Source organism: Homo sapiens, chromosome 11, assembly GCF_000001405.40.
Source record: "Homo sapiens chromosome 11, GRCh38.p14 Primary Assembly".
Classification (NCBI taxonomy): Eukaryota; Metazoa; Chordata; class Mammalia; order Primates; family Hominidae; genus Homo; species Homo sapiens.
In genome coordinates this window covers 115,570,174-115,596,268 of record NC_000011.10, presented here as the reverse complement: position 1 = coordinate 115,596,268, position 26,095 = coordinate 115,570,174, and the positions used below count along the sequence as shown (strand labels likewise).

At 45.0% G+C, this 26,095-nt stretch overlaps 1 pseudogene, besides 2 other annotated features; it reads right to left on the bottom strand.

Annotated features, from left to right (window-relative positions):
• Positions 10,358-10,427: an enhancer, noted in NCBI's record as "active region_5545". NCBI's record gives its function as "activates an Ori minimal core promoter by ATAC-STARR-seq in GM12878 lymphoblastoid cells {active_cell/tissue: GM12878}" and the evidence as "EXISTENCE:reporter gene assay evidence [ECO:0000049][PMID:35858748]".
• On the bottom strand, positions 18,026-18,220 carry RPL12P46 (ribosomal protein L12 pseudogene 46; annotated as a pseudogene).
• Positions 19,115-20,314: an enhancer, noted in NCBI's record as "MED14-independent group 3 enhancer chr11:115446673-115447872 (GRCh37/hg19 assembly coordinates)". NCBI's record gives its function as "activates an origin of replication core promoter dependent on BRD2, BRD4, P300/CBP and CDK7 cofactors, and independent of MED14, by STARR-seq in HCT116 cells {active_cell/tissue: HCT116}" and the evidence as "EXISTENCE:reporter gene assay evidence [ECO:0000049][PMID:35650434]".

The window sequence follows — 26,095 nt, the reverse complement described above, 5'->3', positions numbered from 1 at the left end:
TCATATCAACCAATAGCTCTACTCCTCCTTACCTCCTCAGTCCCACAGAGGTAACCTCTCTCAACTCTTAGCAATTTCTACTGGCATTTACCTTTACCATTTAAAATAACATATTCATATTGCTATTTCTCAAGTTAACCATTTTAGACAGTTTCTACTAAATTCCTTTTATTGCAATTGAGAATTTTGTTCTCTAATACACTGCCACCTTCTTCCTACTATCTCTCACCTATCCTTCTGGTGTAATTATATCACATTTGGGGTTGAATCAATCATCTGCATTTATACTATGATGACTGTGTAAGTATTGCTCTCTGCTGAGCCAGGTCGTCCAAATCCACGCATATCCAAGTCCCACAGTCAGCCCTGAGCAACCTGCCTATAGGAAAAGTCGACCCTCCATGTACACAGGCTTCACATCCTGCAAATACTGTATTTTCAACCAACGTTTAGTTGGAAAAAAATACCTGTGTACAAGTAGACCATGGAGCTCAAGTCTCTGTTGTTCAGGGGTCAAATGGACTCCCCACGACCACTGCCAAATACTCCAATTGATCTATCGCCTAGCAATAATTTTTCAAACATTTATATCCATCAGATAATCTAATTGCTCCTTTTCTCCCCATGATCCTCCACAGAGTAGAATTCTATATTTTGCTCTTGAGGCTAGCAGCAGGCTGCTTCCCCAAGACTGTTTATACCATCTTCCTACACTAGATGCCTCAAGGCCCCGCAATGGATAAGTGTCAGACTGGGATTTGAACCCAGGTTTGTCTAAATCAAAATCCCTCATCCTCAACTGCCATCGTATATGGCTTTTATAAGTTAAGAATTTGAAAAAGTGGCTATAATGTTTGAGTAGGAGGTAGTGGCTACATAAAAGTAATTACTGCTGATGGTTGCATTGCATTTGAACTCTATCCTTACACACACTTTCAAAACAGACAGCAGTTCTCAAAGTGCTGGGACCTGCCTTCACACCTGGGAGAAACAACATTCAAACAGGGAATTTGCTTTTTTTAATCTTGCAGACATTTCCATATGGGTTTGTTGACACTTTGGGAATCCTTCTTTCCTATTGTAAGGCTTGGGTGGCTGTGGCTGTGGGGTTTTGTTTTGTTTTATTTTGTTTTTGTTTATTTTGTCTTTCTTCCTGATTTACTTTCTCTAGTTTTTCCTGAGGTCTGGGAAGACTCCCAGTGGGCATATAGCCTGCCAACCCCAGGGGCAATATAGCTTCTATCTGAACGTGTACCCTTCTATCCATCCACCCTCACTCCTTGCACATACATATCCACACACACATTCACACACACACACACTCTCTCTCTCTCTGAGCCCACAGCTCCAACCCTGCTGAAGTAAAGAGTCTAGTCAGTGTCACAAAATATGAGTCTCATCAACCTGTTTGGACTGGAATCATGAGGATGAGGGACACAAGGAGGGAGAAAGAGGAAAGGAGATATGGGTAGACTTAAAGGTGTTCCAAATATTCCTCAATGCTGTGTGGCATCTTTTCCTCTTCAATTCTCCCAACTCCTCTACAAATATAGACACACACCACAGAGAAGTTAAATTTACAATCAGATTTTACTCTCTGCCTAGGTGAAACCATGAGTCCCCCAGAGGGTATAAATCTTTTCAGGAGCAATGCTCCATTGATCCAGCAGTTCCACTAAAATGGTCCTGAACCATAGCCCTCTTTCCTACTTTCTCCCATTCTCTTTTTTCCTTTTTCTTCTTCCTTTTTTTTTTTTTTTTTTTTCAGACAGAGTTCCACTCTTGTTGCCCAGGCTGGAGTGCAATGGCGTGATCTCAGCTCACTGCAACATCTGCCTCTCGGGTTCAAGCGATTCTTCCGCCTCAGCCTCCCCAGTAGCTGGGATTATAGGCCCCAGCCACCACGCCCAGCTAATTTTTGTATTTTTAGTAGAGATGGGGATTCACCATGTTGGCCAGGCTGGTCTCGAACTCCTGACCTCAGGTGATCCACCCTCCTCGGCCTTCCAAAGTGCTGGGATTACAGGCATGAGCCACCGCACCCCTCCATTTTTTTTTTCTCACTTTCTCCCTTGTTTCTCTGGTGCTCCTTCAAAAAAAAAAAAAAAAACCCCACAACAAAACAAAACAAAAAAAAAAACAGCCACCCTCTTGTTTATCTGTTTGTGTTCTGTGTGTGGAGCTCAGGGACCTCCCAGAATAGTTTATTATGGCTTTTCTGTTTAGCTCGACTGCAGTATAGCAGAGGTAATACAATCATGTCTCAGCTCCATATGGTCTTGGAGGCTGACAAGCAGAACAACCTCTGCTTTGTTTGTGTTTTACTTATGGTATTATGTGAGCTGCGTGGGGCTGCTGTGCTAGGTTCCTCCCGCAGGACAGAGCAGAGAAGGAGCCAGGCTCCATGTTGTCTCTCCCCACCCGCTTCCACTACCACACACACAAAACACACACACACACAGACACACACACACACACACACACTCCACAACTCGAGACATAGTGGAGATAAGGGGTGATGATCAACCCCAGAGAACATTAGGGACACACAGGAAAGGTGGTGTTGTGGGGAGGAGGAGGGTGAGAAGAGGAAAGTGAAGGAATATTTATGGAGGCATGCTACACATCTTACTATAGACACGTAATTCTCATACAACTCTTTGGAATATATATTGTTGCCCTATTTTCTCTTGGAAAAAACTGAGGTCAGTAAGCTACTAGGCCTTTTCCCCAAGTGATATACCTGGAATTGAATGCTTATTTGTTTGATCCCCAAACTCACACACAGTCTATTATAACCTTTTTGTCTACAATGTGGGGCTGGGGGGGTTGGGGAGGGGGAGTCTCACAAACTCTTCTAGGCAAAGAGCCTAGATGCTGTAGATGATGACAAAGGATAAACCATTACGCTCTCAAACTTGAAACACAATGTGGTTATGACAGTTTTCAGGGGCTTAGTGTCACCTTTATCCACACTCCAATCAGGCATAGGCCTCCCTGGCCATTGGAGCCAATGAGGTACTATATCTTAAAAGCATTTTCAAAACAGTGAGATTTCAGTAGAACATACTTACTAGGTAATGTCTTCATTGTTGCAGTTACGTTAATGAGGTTTTACCTAAAAATGCAGAGAGGAAGATTCAGTGGGGTTGAGTTAGGTACATATTGCAGCTGGAATAATGGAAGACCCAAGCCATAAGCAACTGTTGTAACTTCAAGGTTCTTAGGTGCAAAGAGTTGCAGGGAAGCATATGTTGGACAGATTCACTGACCATATAGCCTGTTTTTCTAGACAATTCCAATTCCATACATTCTCTCTAACAAAGAGAACCAATGACAAGTCCTGGATATTCCAAAATGTTGGCATCTAAACCATATGAAATAATGACAATAGCTAACATGTGTTCCATGCTTTCTTTTTTTTTTTTTTTGAGACGGAGTCTCGCTCTGTCGCCCAGGCCGGACTGCGGACTGCAGTGGCGCAATCTCGGCTCACTGCAAGCTCCGCTTCCCGGGTTCACGCCATTCTCCTGCCTCAGCCTCCCAAGTAGCTGGGACTACAGGCGCCCGCCACCGCGCCCGGCTAATTTTTTGTATTTTTAGTAGAGACGGGGTTTCACCTTGTTAGCCAGGATAGTCTCGATCTCCTGACCTCATGATCCACCTGCCTCGGCCTCCCAAAGTGCTGGGATTACAGGCGTGAGCCACCGCGCCCGGCATGTTCCATGCTTTCTAGCTGAGTGTAATTCATACACTATCTCATCTATTCCGTGCAGATCCTCATCTATTGACCTGTGATGTCAATGCCTTTTGTAAACTGTACCTGGCACACAGAGGTGATTACTAAATATTTGTTGAGTGGATCATCACTGCTGCTTTCTAGACTAGAAAACTGACCCACAGAGGGGTTTCATAACATGTCTGGCATCACACAGCTGATGAGGGCTGGGGCAGGAAGGTGAGCCCAGGCTACCTGCCCCTGTGACTTGCCTGCTGTCACTACCCAGTCCAGGACCTCATCCTGCTGCTTCCCCAAGCCTCCCATACTGGCTTTCCCACCTGAAAGCAACCCCAAATCTTTCATTAGATCATGAGATCCAATGTCAAATTTGAAATATAACACCATACTACATGCAAAACATGGCAGGGGATGTCGGGAGAATTAAAGAAGCACTAAGTGGTGAGACCTGGCTCCCAAGGAGAAGTAAGGGGAGTCACTGGAGGACACTGAAAACAGGGCCAGGAGCGGTGGCTCACGCCTGTAATCCCAGCACTTTGGGAGGCCAAGATGGGCGGATCACTTGAGGTCAGGAGCTCGAGACCAGCCTGTCCAAGATGGTGAAACCCCATCTCTACTAACTGTACAAAAATCAGCTGGATATGGTGGCACATGCCTGTAACCCCAGCTATTCAGGAGATGGAAGCAGGAGAATCGCTTGAACCTGGGAGGCAGAGGTTGCAGTGAGCCGAGATTGCACCACTGCACTCCAGCCTGGGTGCCAGAGTGAGACTTCATCTCCCAAAAGATAAATAAATAAATACTGAAAACACCCTGTGTCCTGGGCACCACCATTTGGAGAAACCCAATGGTGGCTCTTGATCAGTCTGGGCCTTGAGAAAGGACTGGTAGGGAATCTGTTATCAGAAGAGGGACATCTGCCCTCAGGAAATATGGTCCCAGTCAAGAACAGCTGTCTTCCTCTTCCCTCTTCCCACCTCAGGCCTGAATCACAAAGAGCAATCTTAGACTCATATTTGTGTTGAGGAACAATAATTAGTTTTAGTGGTAGTAGCTACGGCACGCAATGTTAGCATACATGGGGCAGCTCTTACGTGCTAGGGGCTTGATCATACATTAATTCATTTATTTTCTTGACCACTTGATGAGATCAATTTTATGAAGCCCATTTTGCAAATGAGAAAACTGATATATTAGAGGTGAAAAATCAAAGTTACATAAATAGCCAGCATCCAAATAGGAATAAGTAATGTTATGGGTAGCCTTGAAGAAGAAAGGAAGTTTGAAAAAAAATCATATGCTTGGGGGTTTAATTGTGGGAGAAAGCAGAAAAGGAGGGTTCTGCTCTTTCCCTTGGTAAGAGCAGACGGTTACGGGGTGGGTGATATGTATATGAGCATCTGTATTTTTTAGTACAAGCTAATTGAACCACCTGATTTTCCTCCACCATCTGTCTCCCACACTCACTATCATCCTCCCCAACCACCCCCAGCAGCAGTCACTATAGCAGCCTGGAGCCCAGAAAAGCTCCTAAATTCACCAAAGCCAAGAAGAAATGATCTTATACTATGCACCCCTGTCAGGGTGGCCCTAAAAACCAGGATGCCTAGCCGTTCATTAATTCTACAAATACTTAATTGAATGCCTATTTTATGCCCGGTACTTTTCTAGACATCAGACGAGTGAACAAAGCAGACAAAAAAATCCCTGCCTTCATGGAGATTATGTTCTGCCAAAGAGGTTTCTAGTGCTCAAAATCGTCAGTCCATTCACCTTCCTAAGAGAAAAGTCAATCCATGGAGGAGCCCAGAGATCATGATAGAAGTCCTAAACTGAGCTTCACAGTCCTAAGCTCCTCAAAGGAGACCTGTGGTCACAGCCTTCCAGCACCTGCCCTTCCCTCATCAGCCTTTTGTTCCAACAATGAAAGACAAACAGGGGTGAGCGACTCCCCTAAGGCAAACCCCGCCCCACCTGCGCCTCAGGCCCCCCTCTCCAGACCCTGCGCTCTGAGCCCTTGCTTCTTCATTGGTTTGCATCATAAATGTGTAATGCCAGGCTAAGAAAAGCACCCAGCCCAACCCGCTCTGCCTTGCATCCATAACAACCTTATCAAAGGGTTTTTTTTTTTTTCTGAGCACAGAGAACAGAGAGCCCTCCAGGTTTTGATTCATAGCAGGTGAAGGCTGGATGTGCTGAAAGCTGATTGAAATCAGCGAGGTCAACAAAATACAGCTGAGAGTGCACAATAATTGGGAGAGAAGCATCGCTTCCTTGTTTTTTTGTGATCTCCTGCACTTTCAAGCTCCCACTTCTAAAGGAAAGTCTTTGTCTTACACACTTTATTGCATTGGTGTGTGCTTTATTTTTATAAACTTGGGATTTTGCTGACCCACAATTTCCTGTCCCTTTGCCCTGTAACAATCTAGACATTTTGAAGTGGGAGGGTGGGGGTTGGAGATTGAAGAGAAGAGGCTTTAGGACCCTCTGGATTTTCCTGCCTGGAGGAACCCCCTCCCATGCATGTGTACGCAAGCACGCACACACATACACACACACACACACACACACACGCATACACCTGCAAGCCCTTCCATTTTGTTTCAGGAGAGGGAAGTCTGCCCTGTAGCCCTACAGTCCTTTGATGCTGATAGGAGTACTGTTTTGCTAAACAATTCTAACTAATTCAAGGGCAAGTGACTGCATTCTAACTAAAGCCTAAATTCTCACATACACATATTCTTTCTCAATGTCGTGTGTGTGTGTGTGTGTGTGTGTGTGTGTGTGTGTGTTTCTCTTCCTTTATGAAGGTTCTGCCTGGACTGAAAGTTATCTGAAGGTAGGGGCTTTGTTTGTCTTGTTCAGTGCTCAAGAGGACTTAGCACAGAGCACAGCGTGCGGTTGAGAATCAATAAATATTCATCAAATGAAAGAAGGCTCACTGACACTGAGTGTTACTGCTCCAAGTCTCCTGGGCCTCTACTGTCTCTTCAGGGCAAGAGGAATCTGTAGGTGAGCCTTAGCCTTCCTGAGAAAACAGAAAACCATCATGTGGCCACTGCACAGAGGCGAGACTGGGACTAACGCAGGACCTTGGAGAATACTGGTAGCGTAGTAAAGACTTAAATGGAAAAATGACATTCTCGAAACTCTTACATCAGAGAGTGTTTTTGTTAGCTGAGCTTCATATATTGGAAGGTGGTACTGGTTTGGAGTTTTGTTTTTTTTTTTGAGATGGAGTCTTGCTCTGTCACCCAGGCTGGAGTGCAGTGACGCGATCTTGGCTCACTGCAAGCTACGTCTCCCGGGTTCACACCATTCTCCTGCCTCAGCCTCCCGAGTAGCTGGGACTACAGGCGCCCGCCACCACACCCGGCTAATATTTTTGTTTTTTTAGTAGAGACAGGGTTTCACCGTGTTCGCCAGGATGGTCTCGATTTCCTGACCTCATGATCCACCCGTCTTGGCCTCCCAAAGTGCTGGGATTACAGGCGTGAGCCACCGTGCCAGGCCGGTTTGGAGTCTTGACTAGGCTGGCCCAGAGAATTTTATCCACTGGATTCAATCCCATAAGAAGGAACTCATTATCCTGCTTTCCAGAGTTAATGATTGTTTTTCCATCTCATTCTCTGACCAAAGAAGATTTTGTCTATTTTGAGTACCTCCCTGTGAAAACAAGGCAAAATTCCTTAATCCCTGTTATGTAGCTGAGCTAGGAAAGTCCTCACAACTACCATGTAACCGAAGAGAACAGTACCAGTAAACACCAGAAGTATATTTCTTCTTTGATTGAAATCCTTTCCTGCTGGCTTCAATGGGACCCCATGGAAGGGGAGAGGAGACTTCTTCCTCACAGTAGAATGCTCAAGTCCGCACTTGTAGATCCACAAGAGAGAAATTGGATCAAGAAGTCTATACAGTCAGTAACAGTATTAGCCAGATTGGCAGCCAGTTCTGCTATCATCTCTCATGTTGGTCACTGAAACGGCCTCCTAAGGGGTCTACACCTGTCTACCCTTCAAACTGATGCCCTAGCAAGCCTCCTGAAAAACAAATATGACAGATAGTAACAAGAGTTGGCAAAGATGTAATGAAATTAGAACCTCTATACATTGCTGGTGAGAGTGTAAAATGGTACAGCTGTTTTGGAAAACAGTCCATCAATTTCTCATAAGATTGTTAAACATAGAGTTACCATATGATACAGCAATTCTAGTCCTAGGTATATACCCAAAAGAAATGAAAACCTAGGTCCACACTAAAACTTGTATATGAATGTTAATAGCAACTTTATTCACACTAGCCAGAAAGTGGAAACAAACTAAATGTTCATCAACTGATGAATGGATAAACAAAATGTGGCATATCCAAAACAATGGAATATTATTTGGCAATAAAAAGGAATGAAGCACAATTAGAACACGGAGAAATAATTATGTTAAGTGAAAGAGGGCAGTCACAATAGGCCACATATTATATGCTTTCATTTACAAGAAATATCCAAAGTAGGCAAAGCTATAGAGACAGAAAGTAGATAACTGGTTATGAGAGAGGAGAAAGAAAAAAAAGCAGGCAGGCAGTTAGGGTAGGTCCTCGGTTGAATATTTTCAAACAAAAAAACAGCCTGCAGGCACAGATAAGGGAACTTGCACAGGAGGACTTGCCTAAGACATGCCCACAGCTGCACAGATAAGAAAGGCTACACAGGTGACTTGCCTGGAAATGCCCATAATAGAAAATTCCATCCCCTGACACATGCGCAGGAAGGGGAACAAAGCAATATGGAGTAACTCAAGCTAAGGGCCCACATGTGCGTTAGGAGGACGGGATGGAGCGACGAGAAATTTGCACCTTATGCAAATGAGACACTAATCCCTCATCGGTTTCCTATAGAAGCCTTTGCATTCAACTGTGAAAACAGCAACCCCCTTCCGGGTCCCTTCTCAGCAGCAGAGAGCTTTCTTTCACTTATGAAACTTTCGCCTCAACCTCACTTTTTGTGTCCATGCTCCTTAATTCTCCTGGTCTTGAGACAAAGAACTCGGGGTGATACCTTACAACAAGAGACTGCAACATCATGGTGCACAGATGAGACTGTAACAGTTACCTAGAGCTGGAGAGAGATTGGGGGAAGAAGGGGTGGGTGTTCTTACCATTAAAGGATATGAAATTTCTCTGGGGGGTGATGAAAACATTCTAAAATTGGTTGTAGTGATGGTTGAACAATTCAGTGAGTATAGTAAAAACCATTTAATTCTACATTTTAAATAGGTGAATTGTGAATTGTATGTCAATGAAACTGGTACTCCCAAAAAGAAAAAAAAAATTAAACCTACTCATTCCCCTACCAAAGGCTTCTGCTGGTTTCTCATCACCCAAAAATAAAGCTCAAGCTCCTTGGCCCACCATGAAACTCTCCCTTGACAATTTGGCCCCACCTCATTTTTCAGCCTCATCTTCCTCTCTTCTTGACATGTACCCCAAATGCTGAGCTTTTGAGCTTGCCCTGTTCCTGAACATACCATGCTGTGGCTGCCACAGGAGTCCAGGCCTTTGCATTGTGTTCTTCTCTCCTGCAATGCCTTTTCTTTGATCTCTATCTGACAAATGCTGATTTATTCTTCAGGATCCAAGATGAGCATCACCTGTTCTATGCAGCCTTTCCCAGCTTTCCCAGGAAGAGTTTATCTCACTCCTGGGCTGCCATGACACTCTGTTTATAGTCTATTTTTGCGCTTATCACATTTTATTTTAATTACCTCTCTGCATAGTACCTTCCCCACTAGCCTGGACCACGGGCACTTCAAGGACAGAATCTATGCCTTATTTATCCTTGTACCCATCTCTCCACCCTACTCCCACCACATGTGACTAAAGGCACAGGAGAGAAAGAGAGAGAGACATGCATGCACCCCTTAGAGTCCAGCCTATAAAAAGTAGTTAACAAATGTGAAGAAGGGAGAAGGAAAGCAAGTGAAAGAGGACAATCTCTGGCATTGGAGAACTAGGTTTGATCTCATCCCACTCCATACTGGCTGAGCAACCTTGGTTAAAACTTAACCTCAGTCAGGAGTTCTAGACCAGCCTGACCAACATGGTGAAACTTCATCTCTACTAAAAATACAAAAATTAGCCAGGCGTGGTGGCACACAACTATAATCTGAGCTACTCAGGAGGCTGAGGCAGAAGAATCACTGGAACCCAAGAGGTGGAGGTTGCAGTGAGCTGAGATGCCGCCACTCATTGCACTCTAGCCTGGGCGACAGAGTGAAACTCCGCAAAAAAAAAAAAAAAAAAAAACAAAAACACTTAACATCAGTTTTCTGTAGTACAAAAGATGGTTAGCTGGGCCATTTGTGTTAAACTCATTAAGCCCTACAACGACGCTTTGAAGGAGGTATTACTATGTATATTTCATAAGTAAGGAGCTCAAGGCCACACTCCTAGCACCCTAAGTGATCTAGATGTTCCAAGTTAGTTCGAGAGGTTTGTTTCTCTGACCCCAAGGCCTGAGCTTTCAACCTCAACAATTTGTATGTCATAAGCTGATAGTTGCTACCTATTATTTAACTTTCTTCCAACTATCAGAGGACCCTGGAGTCAAACAGCACCAGGTCCCACTCTCCGTTGACGTGAACTGTATTCAGTTCAAAGCGCTCTGCCTCTCAAACTCAGTTCACTACCCTGGGGATTTCCAGAATGTTACCATGAGGCAAATGCATGCCTGAAACTTCCATTCACTGCTCTCCACCCAGCCAGAGCTCACTCATTTTTTAGCACCCAACTCAAATTCAATGTCCTTTAAGACATCTTCTTAACTCTTTTTTGTATTATTTGAGGTCTTACATTCTGAACCACTTATTTTAACCACACATCTCTAAATTTCACTTTCCGTTCACAGACAAAATTGTCCATTCATACCCCTACTCTCGTCTTCTTCCTGCCCAGTCATTTGGTGACACCCTGCGATACGCACTCCATCCTCACCACTCCGTTAGAGCTACATTCTCCCCGTTACCTAGAAACCTACCTCTGTGCCGGATTAAATGCATTTTTCAGAGCTCTTCTCCCTCATCCCCTGCAGCATTTGACAGCATTCTCTCCTCCCTCCGCCTCCTCCTGGACACAGTGGACTGCCTTCTTCACTGGCCTTCCCACTCCCCACTCCCTCACTCCTTTTTCTCACTGGGCCTGCCTGAGGCTCAGGTGGGTCCCTTGCTTCTCCAGCCTTCCCATCTTCTTCCTCGAAGTGTGACATCTCTCATATCTCAAGCAATAGCCCTGACTTCTTCCCTTAGCTCCAGTTGAGTGTCTCCAACTGCCTTCTGGGCTTTTCTACTTGGATGCCTCACTGTCACTCAACATTTAATTTGTCTAAATCCTGGAAGTGCTATTAATACTTATGTACAAAATGAGCTGTAGATACCAATATCGTGATGAACTATAAAATGCCTCTCCCATTGTTCCGCACCCCCACCCCAACGTGGTCTCTCTCAGAATGGCACATGAATTTGTTTATCCCACCAAATGAGTCATCGAGAGCTCTGAAATGAAAATGTACACATACACACACACTGCCTGAGATATTTGGGCCTGGATTTGTCACCAGGAACCTCGCAACTAATAGTCAACCCATTATCATGTAGTGCCTGTTCTGTGCCCAGCACCGTGCTAGATGCTTCTAGAGTACAGTGATGTTTCCTGCATAAAACCTATCATTAAACAGATTACAGCACGTACCTTCTCAAAAATAGCATAGCATAAAACCACACTTATCATCTTCCCCCACAGTTGACCATCATTTTAGTCATCTATGTTTATGACAGTGGGGGGTCCCCCCTCCTCATTACTTCTTCCTCTTCTCCACACTTTTCCCCAAATCTGATCAATTCCAAATCCTGCTAGTTCCTGTTGGGGCTCAGAAACTGATACCACAAAATATGGTACTTTGTCATGACAAACTGAAGAAGCCTCAAGGTCTCTCTGACCTTCCCCCTGGCCTCCAGCCCCAACCGTCTCTCCCAAAGCCTTTATCTAAGGCACAGACCCATCAAAAGAAGCGGTTGTTTTTTAATTCCCCTCCCTCTAAGACCAAGAATATCACCACACCTGAACAGCCCCTTTCGCAAGATTACGTACAAGTTGATCTCTGCTCCCTGACCCGTTCATTTAGTAATCCCCTCAACAGAATTCTTCTTCTCTCTCCTCTCATAACCTATTTTGCCAGGATGGTGTACAAGCTTCTGATCTACCTTGAGGTGTAATTATTCTGTGATCCTTCCCATGAATACTCCGTGCATACATTAAATAAATTTGTATGCCTTCTCTCTAATTATTCTACCTTTTGTGAGTTGATTTTTCAGAGAACCTTCAGAGGACCCAGGAAAAAGCTCTCCCCTTGATCGTCACATTCCTCTTCCTTAGCACCCACTCACCCACATTCTTTCTGTCTCTGCCTTGGCACATATATTTATGTCCCCATGATTTTATGACTAGGTCTCTGCAATGAGGCCTTTCCTCTGGGAGCCTTTCTACCTCTTTTGATGTGTCTCTCAGAACTTCCAGATTAATTCTCTTAATGCACCCATTCTAGGAACTCACTTCCTTGTTCAAAACTGGCATTTCCTACAGCAGCTTTCACAACATTATGGAACCTCAAAGTTAGAAAAAAACATGTGGGTCTTTCAGTCAAAACACCTACCCATTGTTGTCCTCCCTTCCACAACACACCCTCCTCTTAAATTCATTCAGGAATGAGAAACACTCAACCAATCCATTCCATGATTGCCCTGATTGTTACAAAATCCTTCTCCAGTTGACTTGGCTCTCTTATTTCTACCCATTGGTTCAAGTTATCCATTTTTACCTCCTCCTAGCTCCTTCATCACTTTGTTACGGTATGTAGTCAGGTGTGAACAGGGCAGGAGAGGGCCCCCTACCACCAGGAATGTCAGGTGACCATCAGGTGATGGTCAGGCAGTTGTTAGCTGTCTAAAATAATAATTGGTTACAGCCAATGCCAGGGAAAGGCAGTTTCAATAGATAGAAAAAACCTGAAACTGGGGCTGGGCGCAGTGGCTTATGCCTGTAATCCCAGCACTTTGGGAGGCCAAGCCAGGCAGATCACCTGAGGTCAGAAGTTTGAGACCAGCCCGGCCAACATGGTGAAACCCCGTCTTTACTTAAAATACAAAAATTAGCCAGGCATGGTGATGGGTGTCTGTAATCCCAGCTACTCAGGAAGCTGAGGAAGGAGAATCGCTTGAACCTGGGAGGTGGAGGTTGTAATAAGCCAAGATCACACCACTGCACTCCAGCCTGGGTGACAGAACAACACTGTCAAAAAAACAAAAACAAAAACAAAAAAAAACAAAAACAAAAACAAACAAAACACCTGAAACTGGTGATCAGCAGCTGCCCGATAAGATCTCAGGAGTTGGGAGAGTGGGCCCAGGCATGCGCACCAAGAGGCAAAATGGCAGCATTTAACTGGTATGTGACCTTCCTCTAGGAACACTGGACTAGTAAGGGAAGAACGCCCGCAACTCCAGTAAACACGCTGTGCAAGCTCCCCTCCCAAGTGCTAACAGGCCACTGAGCACGTGGTCATCCCACCCCAAGGGAAGAATCAGGGGAGAGGTAACCCAAGACCCCAGAAGTATGCCAACGTATAAAACCCCAAATCAGGCTGGGTGCAGTGGCTCACGCCTGTAATCCCAGCACTTTGGGAGGCCGAGGCGGGCGGATCACCTGAGGTCAGGAGATTGAGACCATCCTGGCTAACACAGTGAAACCCCATCTCTACTAAAAATACAAAAAAATTAGCCAGGTGTGGTGGTGGGCGCCTGTCATCCTAGCTACTAGGGATGCTGAGGCAGGAGAATTGCTTGAACCCGGGAGGCGGAGGTTGCAGTGAGCCGAGATCACGCCACTGCACTCCAGTCTGGGCGACAAGAGCGAAACTCCATCTCAAAAAAACACACACAAAACAAAAAACAAATCAAAGGTCAAATTACGCACTTGATCTCTCAAGTCACCTGTTTGGCTCTCTTCCAAGTGTACTTTTCTTTCATTCCTGCTCTGAAGCTTTTTAATAAACTTCCACTCTTGCTCTGAAGCTTGCCCGGGTCTCTCCTTCTGCCTTATGCCCCTTGGTCAAATTCTTTCTTCTGAGGAGACTTGAGGTTGCTGCAGACCCATGCAGATTCGCTGCTGCTAACAACTGCATTCTAGTTCCCTTATAGCCCAGGGTGCTCTTGGTGCTGTAACTCAACTCCACCCAGCCTCCCCACCTCCAGACCAGCTCTTCTCCACCCCGTCCCCATCTACTGGGCAAAAAAGGAAAAGTGCAGGAGTTTGACAAGGAAAGTGTGCTGGCTTGCTCACGCTCCCTCTTTCTGAAGATATTTGATGTGTGTGCGTGTGTTTGGTATATTCACTGCAGCTGGTTCAGTTTTCTGTGTTCACCTAGCGTTTCTGGAGGCCAGAATCGTGCATAAGCAAACGTGAAGTCTGCTTTATGCTCACGTTGTTCAGTGTATCAATCACATCGGAGCCAATCTGCGTTTCACTGGGGACAGCTCCTCCAGTCATTTGCTACGGCGCACATGTGCACACATGTACACACACACACAGCACATCAAGAGCAAAATGGCAGCATTTAGAGAATAGACCCATAGATTAACACTAAAATAATGAAAAAGTTGAGCGGGTGTGTTCGCGTCACTGTTTATCACAGTTTTGGTTGCCATCTTGCTAAACATCCTACACTGCTCAGAACACTCCAGAACAAAGCATTGTCTGGCCCAAATTAGAGTAGGTTGAGAAACCTTGCTGTGAACCTACTCCTCTGAGTTTTTATTTTGTCTTCCTGGCCAGCATAGATTTGAAATCTTGTGTAGGGTGTGGCCAGCCAGAGTGCTGGGAGGCTGCCAGAGGAGCCGCCTACTCCCAGGGGACCTGGAGGCTTGTGGTGTGACCTCCCATCCATTCCCTGACCCCCTGTGCCCCAGGCAAGCCCATTGAGATAATTAGGTTAAAAAGCAGGCACTTTGCTAACTATCAGCTGCTGTGTCTGGGCTGAGTTCCGCTTGGGGGTGGAAGCAGAGTGGGGGGAAAAAATAACAGAGGCAGGAAGATAAACTACAGGCCAGGGAACTGGTAGGAGGGCAGGGGGAGTCCAGGCAAGCAAGAGCAGGGGAGGTTGCATCTGTATGCAAGTAGGGGCTGCTCACCCATCCTGAGGGGCTCTTACCTTCCCTCGGCTAATGATAAAAACATTTCTCCTTACAGCTTAGTAAAACCTTACAGTTTACAAAGTGTTTTGCATTTGTTATCTCATTGAAATCTCACAATCACCCTGTACCATAGGGAGGGCAATTACGATTGGCCTGGATGTAGAAGGGAAAACAGAGTATCTGGGAGGCTCAAGATCACAGTAGATTAAAAGAGGGAGAAAGGGAGGGGAAGAGGGAGACAGAGGGGAGAGGAAAAAAGAGTAAGCGAGGTACTGAATGTGGAGCCAGGACAAAGAGAAAGTCTTTAAACGTAATAGAGGCTCCACGAGTGCTTATTTATTCATTCATTCTTGGCACTTAAGAAAGGAACCTATGTTAGCAAAACAAAGGCATTATCTTCACAGAGGGCAATGGAAAGGACTCTAGGGACCCAAAGTCCTGGGGTGTACCCCACTTCTTCTGCTACCTGACCAGTCTGCCTCTCCTTGCTGATCTGAACTCCTCTAAAAGTGGGGAGGTTGGATTCTGTCATGTCTGGATCTCCTACCTCTTTTTCAATTTCCTAGGCTGCCTGACCCCAAGTTGAGCCTCTGGCCACAACCCGTAGCCGCAAGGCAAGAGTGGAGGGTTACAGCCTAATTAGGAGTTGGTTAACTGCACTTGTAACTCTTCAGAGCTTTGTCACGGGCTCTACCTTTTCATCTTCAACACAACTGTTTGAGGAAGATAGGGCAGGGATAACAAATCCTTCTGTTTCTGGGAAGAGACCGCACATGATAACAGAAAAAACATGAGTCTGGGAATCAAGAGAGGTGAGCTCTCTGGAAGGATGACTCTTGCCTGGTGCTGAATTGGTTTGCACTTAGAAAACTTCAGAAGCTGCGATTTGCCATTAGAATAGGACAAAGCAGAGGGCCAGCCTCTGCTATCTTACTGACTTTAGCCTCCATCGTTGCCTGTTTTCTCACTCACTCCAGCAGCGCTGGCTGGCTTTCTGCTCCTTGAACACACCAAACTCCCTCCCTCTTTAGAGCCTCCACCCACTCCCCCCACTTCCCCCACCCCCACCCCCACGTCTTGAGAGCTCCTTTCCAAATATTCACATAGTGGCTCACTCCCATCATCTGGGTCTCTAATCAAATGTCACCTCCTCAGAGTGCCTTTCCTAACCATTCAGGCTAAAGTAATCACCATGTTCCCCCACCCCTCACTCTCCAGCCTATCATCCTACACTGTTTACCCCATAGCATTAGGAGGGGACAAGGTCCCAAGGTTCCCTTCCATGGGAAGGACCTTCCATCAGACAGAGTAACACTACTGGTCTCCCCAGCCCTTACCCATTCCTCCGCAGAGCAGGTGTGTCTTATCTGGTTGGCAAATTCGGAGAAGTTCCTGGGACTACATGGGCCCCTCCCTTTCTTGCTGGGACATACTTCAGGCAGAGAACATGAGTGCTGATCGTCTATAAGCCAGGAAGTAGGCTTTGGGGTAGAGGCTCTGCCCTTGCAGATGGAGGCCTGTGGTCAACCATCACTGCCTAAAACTGGATGTGCAAATCTGCCTAATTCCAGGGTACAGTGCCATGAAGCTCATGGTTGCTGCACTCCAACCGTGGGCTGGAGCCACATCCTCCAACCTAGCTGTGATTAGCCATGGTGCTTGGGTATCCACTGTCTGACTCATATATCTGTCTCTCCAACCGTTCAGAACACAGGCTGGGAACAGGTATGTTATATATTGGGTTCTGCAAAACCACATTTGCCTCTCCCTGAAATCATTATATTTATTGGTTGATTCATTTGTTTACACATCTTTTGCCTTACCCCCATCTGATACATACCACATGGACACACACCTCCCCTTTCTTACCATCCCCTACAGAACGTAAACTTCTTGAGAACAGAGACTCTGTCTCTTTTGCTCATACATTCTGTGCCGGGAACAGTGTTTGGTTCAAGCAGATGTCAAAAAGTAGTCACCGGATGAATAAAAGACTTCCAGATGCCTCTGCACTGCATAAGATCCCAGGACCTTTGCACAGCCCTAGGGTGGGGAGTCTCCTCAATGACTAAGATGAAATAATTATCCACTTGCTTAGAAGAATATGAACCAAGAACTGGGTTCCAGTTGATTTAAAGAAGTTTTTAGAGTATTTCTTATAAGCCTACATTGTAGATGAGATTTTTATCTATAAAATATGATTTCCCCAAGATAAGGAAACTAGGGTGCATGGAGGTTGGGTTATTTCCGGAGGATCCCAAGGTCAGCTGGCAGCAGAGCTCTGCATGGCTGTGGCTCTGCTCCATACTCTTCTCCTCCACTTGCAGAGGCAGCTTGGTCTCCTGCTGTTTCCTCATGGCAAGAGCCACTGTGTGCTGGTTTCCCCATCCTTCTCTCTCCCTGGGTCTATTCAGCCCCTGCTAGCTTTCAGTCCCATTCGGTTGTAGGCCTCAAGGACCTTTCGTCTGCAGGCTCACACTCTCCTAGACTCTGAGTAGAAGCTGACCCCAGCATAGGGCGTGTGACAGCTCCATCTATACAAGGAGGCACGGTCTGAATTTTGCTATCTTCAGTTCAGCATCTAGTGGGCTTGGGTGACCTAGGTACTCACCAAGGTTCAGATGGCCCCACTCATGATGGCCCAGACAGCATAGTGGGCTCCTGCTTTGGTTCCCTGGTAGAGTCTGGGGCTAGAGAATGGCCCTGAATCTTCATCCACATGGCCAGGGTTCCACCATCTTACATAACTCTTGCCAGCTTTCTCTGCCTCTCCCTCAAGGACTGTAGCCATCTCTGTAGCTGAGTCACTGCAGGAGGTCCTGTGACAAAGTATAGGAACCTCCCTGAAGCAAAGCCCTGCCTCCTAACTGAAGTTAAGAATCTCCATGGTCTGTAAGGTCCAGCTTTGGATGTTGAGCCTGCCCTGGCACTAGTGTGACTTTATCCCTTGGGGAGTGAGTTTATTTACTTAATTATTATTTATTTATGTATTTATTTATGTTACTAGTTGTCAAATGGTCCTTTATCGAAATATTTTCCTTTGTACTTTTTACCTAGCTGGGCACTCCTCTGCGCCGCCATCGATGTTGTCTTTGATGTCATTAGGGTGGCAGCCGTCAACACTGCAGCCCACAGACTGGACAGTCCCCAGGGTATCTTTAATGGTTCCAGAGAATTATCTGGCTAAAGATTGGTGGTGCATCTGTCAAGCAATGTTGACAATCTCATCAAAAGCAATATTTCCAGGGCAGTACACAGCTGTCCCCACCATTTCCCTAAAAGAAATCCTTTAGGCCCACCCAGTCCACCTACCAGCCTCACTCCTAGCTTCCCCTCCTGCCCGTGGTCCCCTGCACCACAGTCTCAGCCTGGCCCTCCATGAAGCCATTCCCCGAGCGAGGCCTCAGTCTGTTGCCTGAGCAGCTGGAGGACAGCCCCTCCCTCAGAGGTGGGCTCCTCTCTCAGGGGATGGCTGGCCATCCTCCAAAAAGGCCCCTCTTTTCTGAGCATTCCAGTCATCTGCCTCAACTTCTCTCTCCTCCCCCAGGCCCTTCCTGTAAATTTCACATTTGAAACAAATATTGATTTTCTTACTTATGCCCCTTGCCAGGGTTGTAAGACACACACACATACACACACACACACACACACACACACACACACACAGCCACCGAAAACAAAAAGCATGGACCTGCTACCACTTCTGGAAATGAATGAGGCGAAAACAAGGAAAGCACAAAGAAAAAAGATGTGGCTTCTGGGCAAAATGCAGCCATTGCTATTATTTTCAGAGTTTCTCCCTGACCCTGGCCCTGAGTTAAGAGCTTAGGTAGTGTGGTGAGTGTTAACTGGGAGTGAGAAACCCAAGAGGGCTGTTTTCTTCATTAAAAAAAAAAAATAATAAAAGGGCTCTAACTTTTCCATCTTGTTACCTGAAATGAGAGCAAAGACCAGGATCTGCTCAGATTCTGTGGCTGCAGGACTCCCAGCCTCATCTCCTTCCCCAATCACTCTCCCTAACTCCCTTTTCCCTTGGCTAATAAGCAATCCTGAGAAGGTTTGCACACTTTGCTTATTGTATTTGGCTCAGAAATACATTCTCTTTTTCACCCCCAACCTCAGGCAAATGCTTTCTGATATCCATTTGTATGCCTGAACACATGTGATTGGGCTTAATGTCATTTTCTGAGGAACTGCGGGAAGGTCACTGGGCACAGTGAGAACTTGGCTCCTCTGGGGGATCAGATGCCCAAGGCCTGGTCAGCTCCTGTCTCAGACTCAGACATCTTCCCCCAGCCACCATGACAGGCCTCTGGGACACCTAACTAGTTCCATGTCTTCATTATGCTCCCCTCCAGGGGTGAATCCTGAATCTACCAAAGACCATGCTCACATTCCAGAGAGTTTGCATTATAGCAAGGCAATTTATTGAGACTTTAATGGAGCAGAATAACTGACTCAGAAATTACCTGTGTCTTGTTTTTCTCTGCAGTAGGCTCAACACAAAGGCACGAAAGGTATTTCCTTTCCTCCTCCCCACCCCTCCTTCTATCTCTCTTCCAGGTTTTTGTGTCCTTGAGGTCTAAGTTTCTTTATTCGGTTAATAACATTTACCTCTGTTTCATAGAACAAAGGAGAAGTTGCCAGATGCCATTATTTTTGCTAAACTCGGGAACGACCAAGCGATTAAATGCGGTTTGACATATAGGGGAGAAACCTGGTGGGTGTGTAGTGTGGGGTTTGAAATGAAAAGGGCTGGCTGAGGAGGAGGGCCTACCTCTGACCCTGAAGAGGATAGCCAGATACTCAGGAAGGGAAAGGAGGAGAAGGAAGAGGCCTGTGGTTTCCATCGAGGCAGATACCTGAACCCCAGGGAATGCAGATCTTCTGAGGAGGGAGGATCAGGTGGCTCTGGAGGGCTCCATGGGTGTCCGTGAGGATTGAGCACCCAGGCCATGGTCTTGGGAGTCTCCATGGTATCAGTTCACCTGTGTGGACCTGGATGAGGAGCACAGCCAAGAGCATCATAGACAGGACCAAACAGAGGACACCTCACTTCCACCTTCTGAGACCTGAGAAGCCCAAGTTTTGTTGTTGCTGTTTTTTGTTTGTTTGTTTTTTATGTGAGAATATTCTGAAAACATGCAGACATTGGCAACCTCGGGGGTGTCAGACCAGTTATAATTCTTTTTTTGGCTAATCTTTTCTGTATTATTCCAGTTTTAGTGGATATGCTGCTGAAGCGAGCACTCAGACCAGCTACAATTTGATTTAGACAGAGAAATGTTCTGGACATGTTTTTATCACTTGCTCACCATTTCATTGATGGGAGGTGGGCTGCTTGCCTTCAGAGAACTTGGCGGCAAGGGATGCCCGCTGCGGGGCAGAGGTAAAATGGACTTTCCACAGCTCCTCCAGGCTCCCAGACGCTGTGTACAATGTCTGTAGCCAGCAGGATGACCAGACATTTAACTGGATCCCTTATTAGTCTGATGGCCTTATCCAATTATTGGACCTCTCCCCACTTATCTCCCAACTCTCTGTGTTCCCATGCTTCCTCTGCTTTGCTGTTCTTTGATCTTTGGCTCACATTTCTGTCTGTGACCCTATTACCTACCAATCAGGGCTTGGTGTTTTCCTATTAGTCCTGGGCTTCATTCTACTTGCCTTTGGGATCAAGGATATGCTTTTGGTACTTTCTATATTAAATGTTGGCTGCTATTGTTTTCAGCCTTTTGGAGCAAAACCTCATGTTGAAACAAACAGCTCCGTTCAATTGCTCCTCCTCTTTTGAGCTCCAACATCCAACTGCTCTTCCCTTTGCCACACTCTTCTCAGTCCCACTGAAGCCATTTGCTGACCTCAGTCACTCTCGCAGATTCCTACAGAACTTCCACCGCTAGCACTTGTCTTCCTCCCACCCAAATCTCTGTCATCATCCCAAATGGCTTCAGTTTCCAAGCAGGTGCCTCATCTAATAACTTGAACTCGCAGTTTCTTGATTTCCTTCGCGACCGACAAATTTCACCTTCATTTCATTTAAGTGACCCACTTCCATGGCAACACCCTGGATCTTGTCATCACCTAGAACTGTTTCATTAGCAAACCCTTAAGTTTAAAAAGCCTGATCCCTAAAGCCAATTTCTCATTTTTCTACCTGTGGCTCCTTTAGAACCATGCATCTCCCTTTTCCAGACCTCTAGTCTTCCAAACTCTTCCCATCTTCTCTCCACCACCCCTCTGGTCCTTCCTTGACCTCCAGATTCAGCCACACAGTTACTTTTCTGATAACAGTGGCAAACACATAGCATGACTTTTGCTGGGCCCTATGGAAAGCCCTTTATATATATTAACTGTCTTCATCTTTTTCATCAGTTTGCAGATAAAGAAACTAAGGTTGGGTAATTTGCCCAAGGCTCCCAGCCAGGGCCAGCTGCATAATCTGTGGACCAAGTGGGAAATGAAAATTCAGGACCCCTTGTTCAAAGAGCAGGGAGGGAAAAGTACTCTTTAATATACTCGCCTATAAAGTTTTTTCTTTCTTTTTTCTCTTTTTTAAATTTTTAAAGAATTTTTTGTAGAGATGGGGTCTCATTGTATTGCCAGGCTGATCCAAACTTCTGACTCAAGCAATCCTCCTGCCTCAGCCTCCCAAAGTGCAAGGATTACAGGTGTGAGCCACCACACCTGTAAAGCTTATTTATTTATTTATTTATTTGTTTATTTTTTTCCTGAATTTTAAGTTCTGAGGTACATGTGCAGGATGTGCAGGTTTGTTACATAGGTGTACCATGGTGGTTTGCTGCACAGATCAACTCATCACCTAGGTATCAAACCCAGTATCCATTAGCTGTTTATCCTGATGCTCTCTCTCCCCTATTCCCCCCATAGGCCCCAGGGTGTGTTGTTCCCCCTGATATGTTCATGTGTTCTCACCATTCAGCTCCCACTTATAAGTGAGAACATGCTGTGTTTGGTTTTCTGTTCCTTCATTAGTTTGTTGAGGATAATGGCTTCCAGCTCCATGCATGTTCCTGCAAAGGACATGATCTCATTCCTTTTTATGGCTGCATAGTATTCCATGGTGTATATGTAACACATATTCTTTATCCAGTCTATCATTGATTGGTATTTTGGTTGATTCCACATCTTTGCTATTAGCTTTTTTCTTTAAAAATACTTTATTATGGCCAGGCACAGCGGCTCACGTCTGTAATCCCAGCACTTTGGGAGGCTGAGGCGGGCTGATCACGAGGTCAGGAGATCGAGACCATCCTGGCTAACATGGTGAAACCCCGTCTCTACTTAAAAAAACAATTAGCCAGGCGTGGTGGTGGGCGCCTGCAGTCCCAGCTACTTGGGAGGCTGAGGCAGGAGAATGGCGTGAACCTGGGAGGCGGAGCGTGCAGTGAGCTGAGATTGCACCACTGCACTCCAGCCTGGGTGACAGAGCGAGACTCTGTCTCAAGACAAAAAAAAAAAAAAAAACCACTTTATTACTTATAAAACATGAGAGGTAAGTAAAGTTAAAATTCTAAACCATTAGCATAAATTTTACTGTTCATCTTTATGTTGTGCAATGCCAATTTTAGATGCAAATGTAAGAATACACACACACACACATACATATAGAATCACTTCACTGGAATTTCATAGCTTGGGCATATACTTGTATCTTGTTCTTACCAGAACAGTGGAAATACTGCACAAAACTGGTTTTGTTTCACTTCTTGGTATGCATACATTCTATCAATACTTCTTACCTTTGGCTCACTGGTGAATAAGCAAAGACTGAAAGGGAAAGGAAATATGTGTTGCTCTGTTTTTCGCTTTCCTCATATGTCATCATTTTCAGGATAAGTGGTTGGCTAATACAGGAAAGTAATGCACATAGAAAGGGATATGATAGGGCTTCTTGGTTGTTTGCGCTTCTTAGAATGCCACTGCCTTCTTTCTGAGTTCAAAGCAAGTTCTGGATGAATGAAAAGTATGGCCTGGTGGGTTGCAAGTGTCTTGCTTACTCGGTCATAGACATGTTGATAGGAAGCATGAGCACGGAATTCTGTGAAGGCACGATACATGAGAACGCAGCGAGACTCAAAATGAGTACAAATTAAGCATGTTCTGGAAGTTTCACGGTGATCCTGAATGCTGTATCCAAAGGAGGTAGCAAGAAATGTGGGGCATTCATCTGGGCCGTTTTCCCTCTGTTCACACGTGTGCTCCATTGTCCCATCAGATTAACAAAACACAAATTCAAAGATAAAATCACTGAGAATTTCAAGATAGTCTCAGCAGAGCTTTTAACCAGGCAGAGGACCCTTCTGAGAGCAAGATGTGGGAGGCCCCAGGAAGAGCTGTGGCCTTGCTTAAGGCGACTCTTCAACTGAGGCCATTCTCAAAGAAGAGGGGAAACCCAGCAGCTGGGAGGACACATCCTACAGTCCTGATGTGTGGATGTGGGCAGCTCAGCTCAGCATTCAGGATGCCTTCCCTCTTCCCCCGCAGAAAAGGGCGGATCCTCCCTCTTCCAGAACTAGCCACTCTCTCAGTTCCAGGCCAATCCACCCACATGTACGCTTATCTCTTCCTCTCCCACATCCCTCCAATCTTGTCCATTATTCATCCCCACTTTCCCTCATCTCTTCAATTTCTTTGCTAATAATGGCTCCCTTAACTCAACCTAATTACATCCCAAGTCTCTTCTGTTAAAAACATCCCATTATTCAACTCTGCTTCCGCCCCAAAAGCCATGTCCTCTTGCCTTCCTACCCACAAAGATCCTTCAGAGAGTAAACTCCACTTGCCATCTCCAATGTTTCACTGTGCAGCAACACCCAGCCCAGACCAGAGTCATCCAAGAGCTCTCCAACCTGCTTTTTTTTCTCCCGACAACCGCCCTTCAGCCTTCAACCTACTGGACCTCTTTGTTGCCCACCACAGTGATCACTTCATTCTTTAAGAAACCTTCTTCTTCTTTGATCTTTATCACAGAGCATGACTTGCTTTTGATCAACCACCATTCCTCCTACTACTCTTTCTCAGGAAATCTTAATGAATTTCCCTTCACTAACTCCATAAATCTTGTTAATCTCCAGGGCTCACTTTTTGCTTTTTTTTTTTTTTTTTTTTTTGAGACAGGGTCTCACTCTGTCACCCAGGCTGGAGTGCAGTAGTGCAATCACAGCTCACTGTAGCCTCGACCTCTTGGGCTCAAGAGATCGTATTACCTCAGCCTCCCCAGTAACTGGGACTACAGCTGCGCACCACCATGTGTGGCTAAGTTTTTTTTGTTTATTTTTTGTAGATACAGCGTCTCACTATGTTGGCCAGGCTGGTCTCAAACTCCTGGGCTCAAGTGATCCACCTACTTCAGCCTCCCAAAGTGCTGGGATTACAGGTGTGAGCCACAGCATCCAGCTTAGTTTTTGCTTTCACTCTCTGCCTGCTCTCCCTGGGTTGTTTCATCCACTCTCATCTATAAGCCAGTGACTCCCAATTCTTCACCTTTAGTACTCATCACCTGCTAAGCTTCAGAATCATCCCTTCTGTAAAAGTAATCTTGATTACCCAAAACTTTAGACTTTTAAGTTACTGTTTAAAATTCCACAAGTAATACACGATTTTTGGGTTTTTTTGTTTTTTTTTTTTTTTGAGTTGGAGTCTTGCTCTGTTGCCCAGGCTGAAGTGCAATGGCATGATCTCGGTTCACTGTAGCCTCCGCCCTCCCGGGTTCAAGCAATTCTTCTGCCTCAGACTCCTGAGTAGCTGGGATTACAGGTGCCCGCCACCACTCCTGGCTAATTTTTGTATTTTTGGTAGAGACGGGGTTTCACCATATTGGCCAGGCTGTCTTTAGCTCCTGACCTCAGGTGATCCGCCTGCCTCGGCCTCCCAAAGTGCTGGGATTACAGGTGTGAGCACCGTGCCTGGCCTGTAATACGTGATTTCTGTAGAAAATTGGGAAATGCAAGGAAACAAAGAAAATCCAAAAGGCAAAAACCTGAAATTCCAACTTCCAGAAATAATCACTACTAATAGTTTGATGTATCTCTAACTTTATAAACATTTGTATGCAAAATATTAAATATTTGGTATAAAAATCTATCTTTTTTGCTAAAATATTGGCCATACATATTGACCAAATATTATTGACATAATTAAACATTGCTTGGTGATTATTTTTTGTTGTAGTCTTCCCAGATCACTAAGTATAATCCTACACCATTATTTTAATAACTGCACAGTATTTCATGACATGACTATCAAAATTCTTTTAAACTTTTCTTCTAATTTTTGCACATTAGCCTTGTCCAATATTTTATACTATCATAAACAATATGGTGATGGCATTCTTGTGGCTAAATTGCTGTGTTCAAACATACAAACCTTTTTAAAGTTGCTCATAAGCAAGGCCGGGCATGGTGGCTCATGTCTGTAATCCCAGAACTTTGGGATGGGCCAAACCAGGAGGATCACTTGAGCCCAGGAATTCGAGATCAGCCTAGACAACACAGTGAGACCCTGTCTTTATAAAAATAAAAATAAAAATAAAAAGTTGCTCATACATTTGGTCAAATTGTCCTCAAAAGAAAGATTGTACCAATGTATGTTCTTCACCAACAATGGACGAGAATATTAGTTTTCCCAAACCCTTACCAAGAATACAAAATAGCATTGTTTTTCATTTTGCCCATTTATTTTATCATTATTTCAAAAGAATTTCAGTTTTTATTTGTTAATTTTTTGTTAATTGTTCCTTGTATTTCTCCCTTTGAAAATTGTGGTTTTGTTTACTTTGTCCATTTTATTCTATAAAGATGTTCTTTTATTTATTGGTTTGTAAGAAACAGCTACTATTTCTAAGTACCTATAACTAGATTTCCCTAGAGCACCTCAAGATCAAGTTTTCAAAACCAGACTGATCATCTCTCCCATAAAAACCTATTACGCTCATATTCCCTTAGTTAATAGTATCACCATCTCCCAAGTTAGTCAAGAGAAAAATGTGAGAAATAATCACATATCCTCCCTCTCCTTCTCTTTAACCCATTTACAAAGTCTTGTCTCTTTCTCTCAAATAGCCCTCAAGCCTATCCCATCTTCTCTATTCTCCATG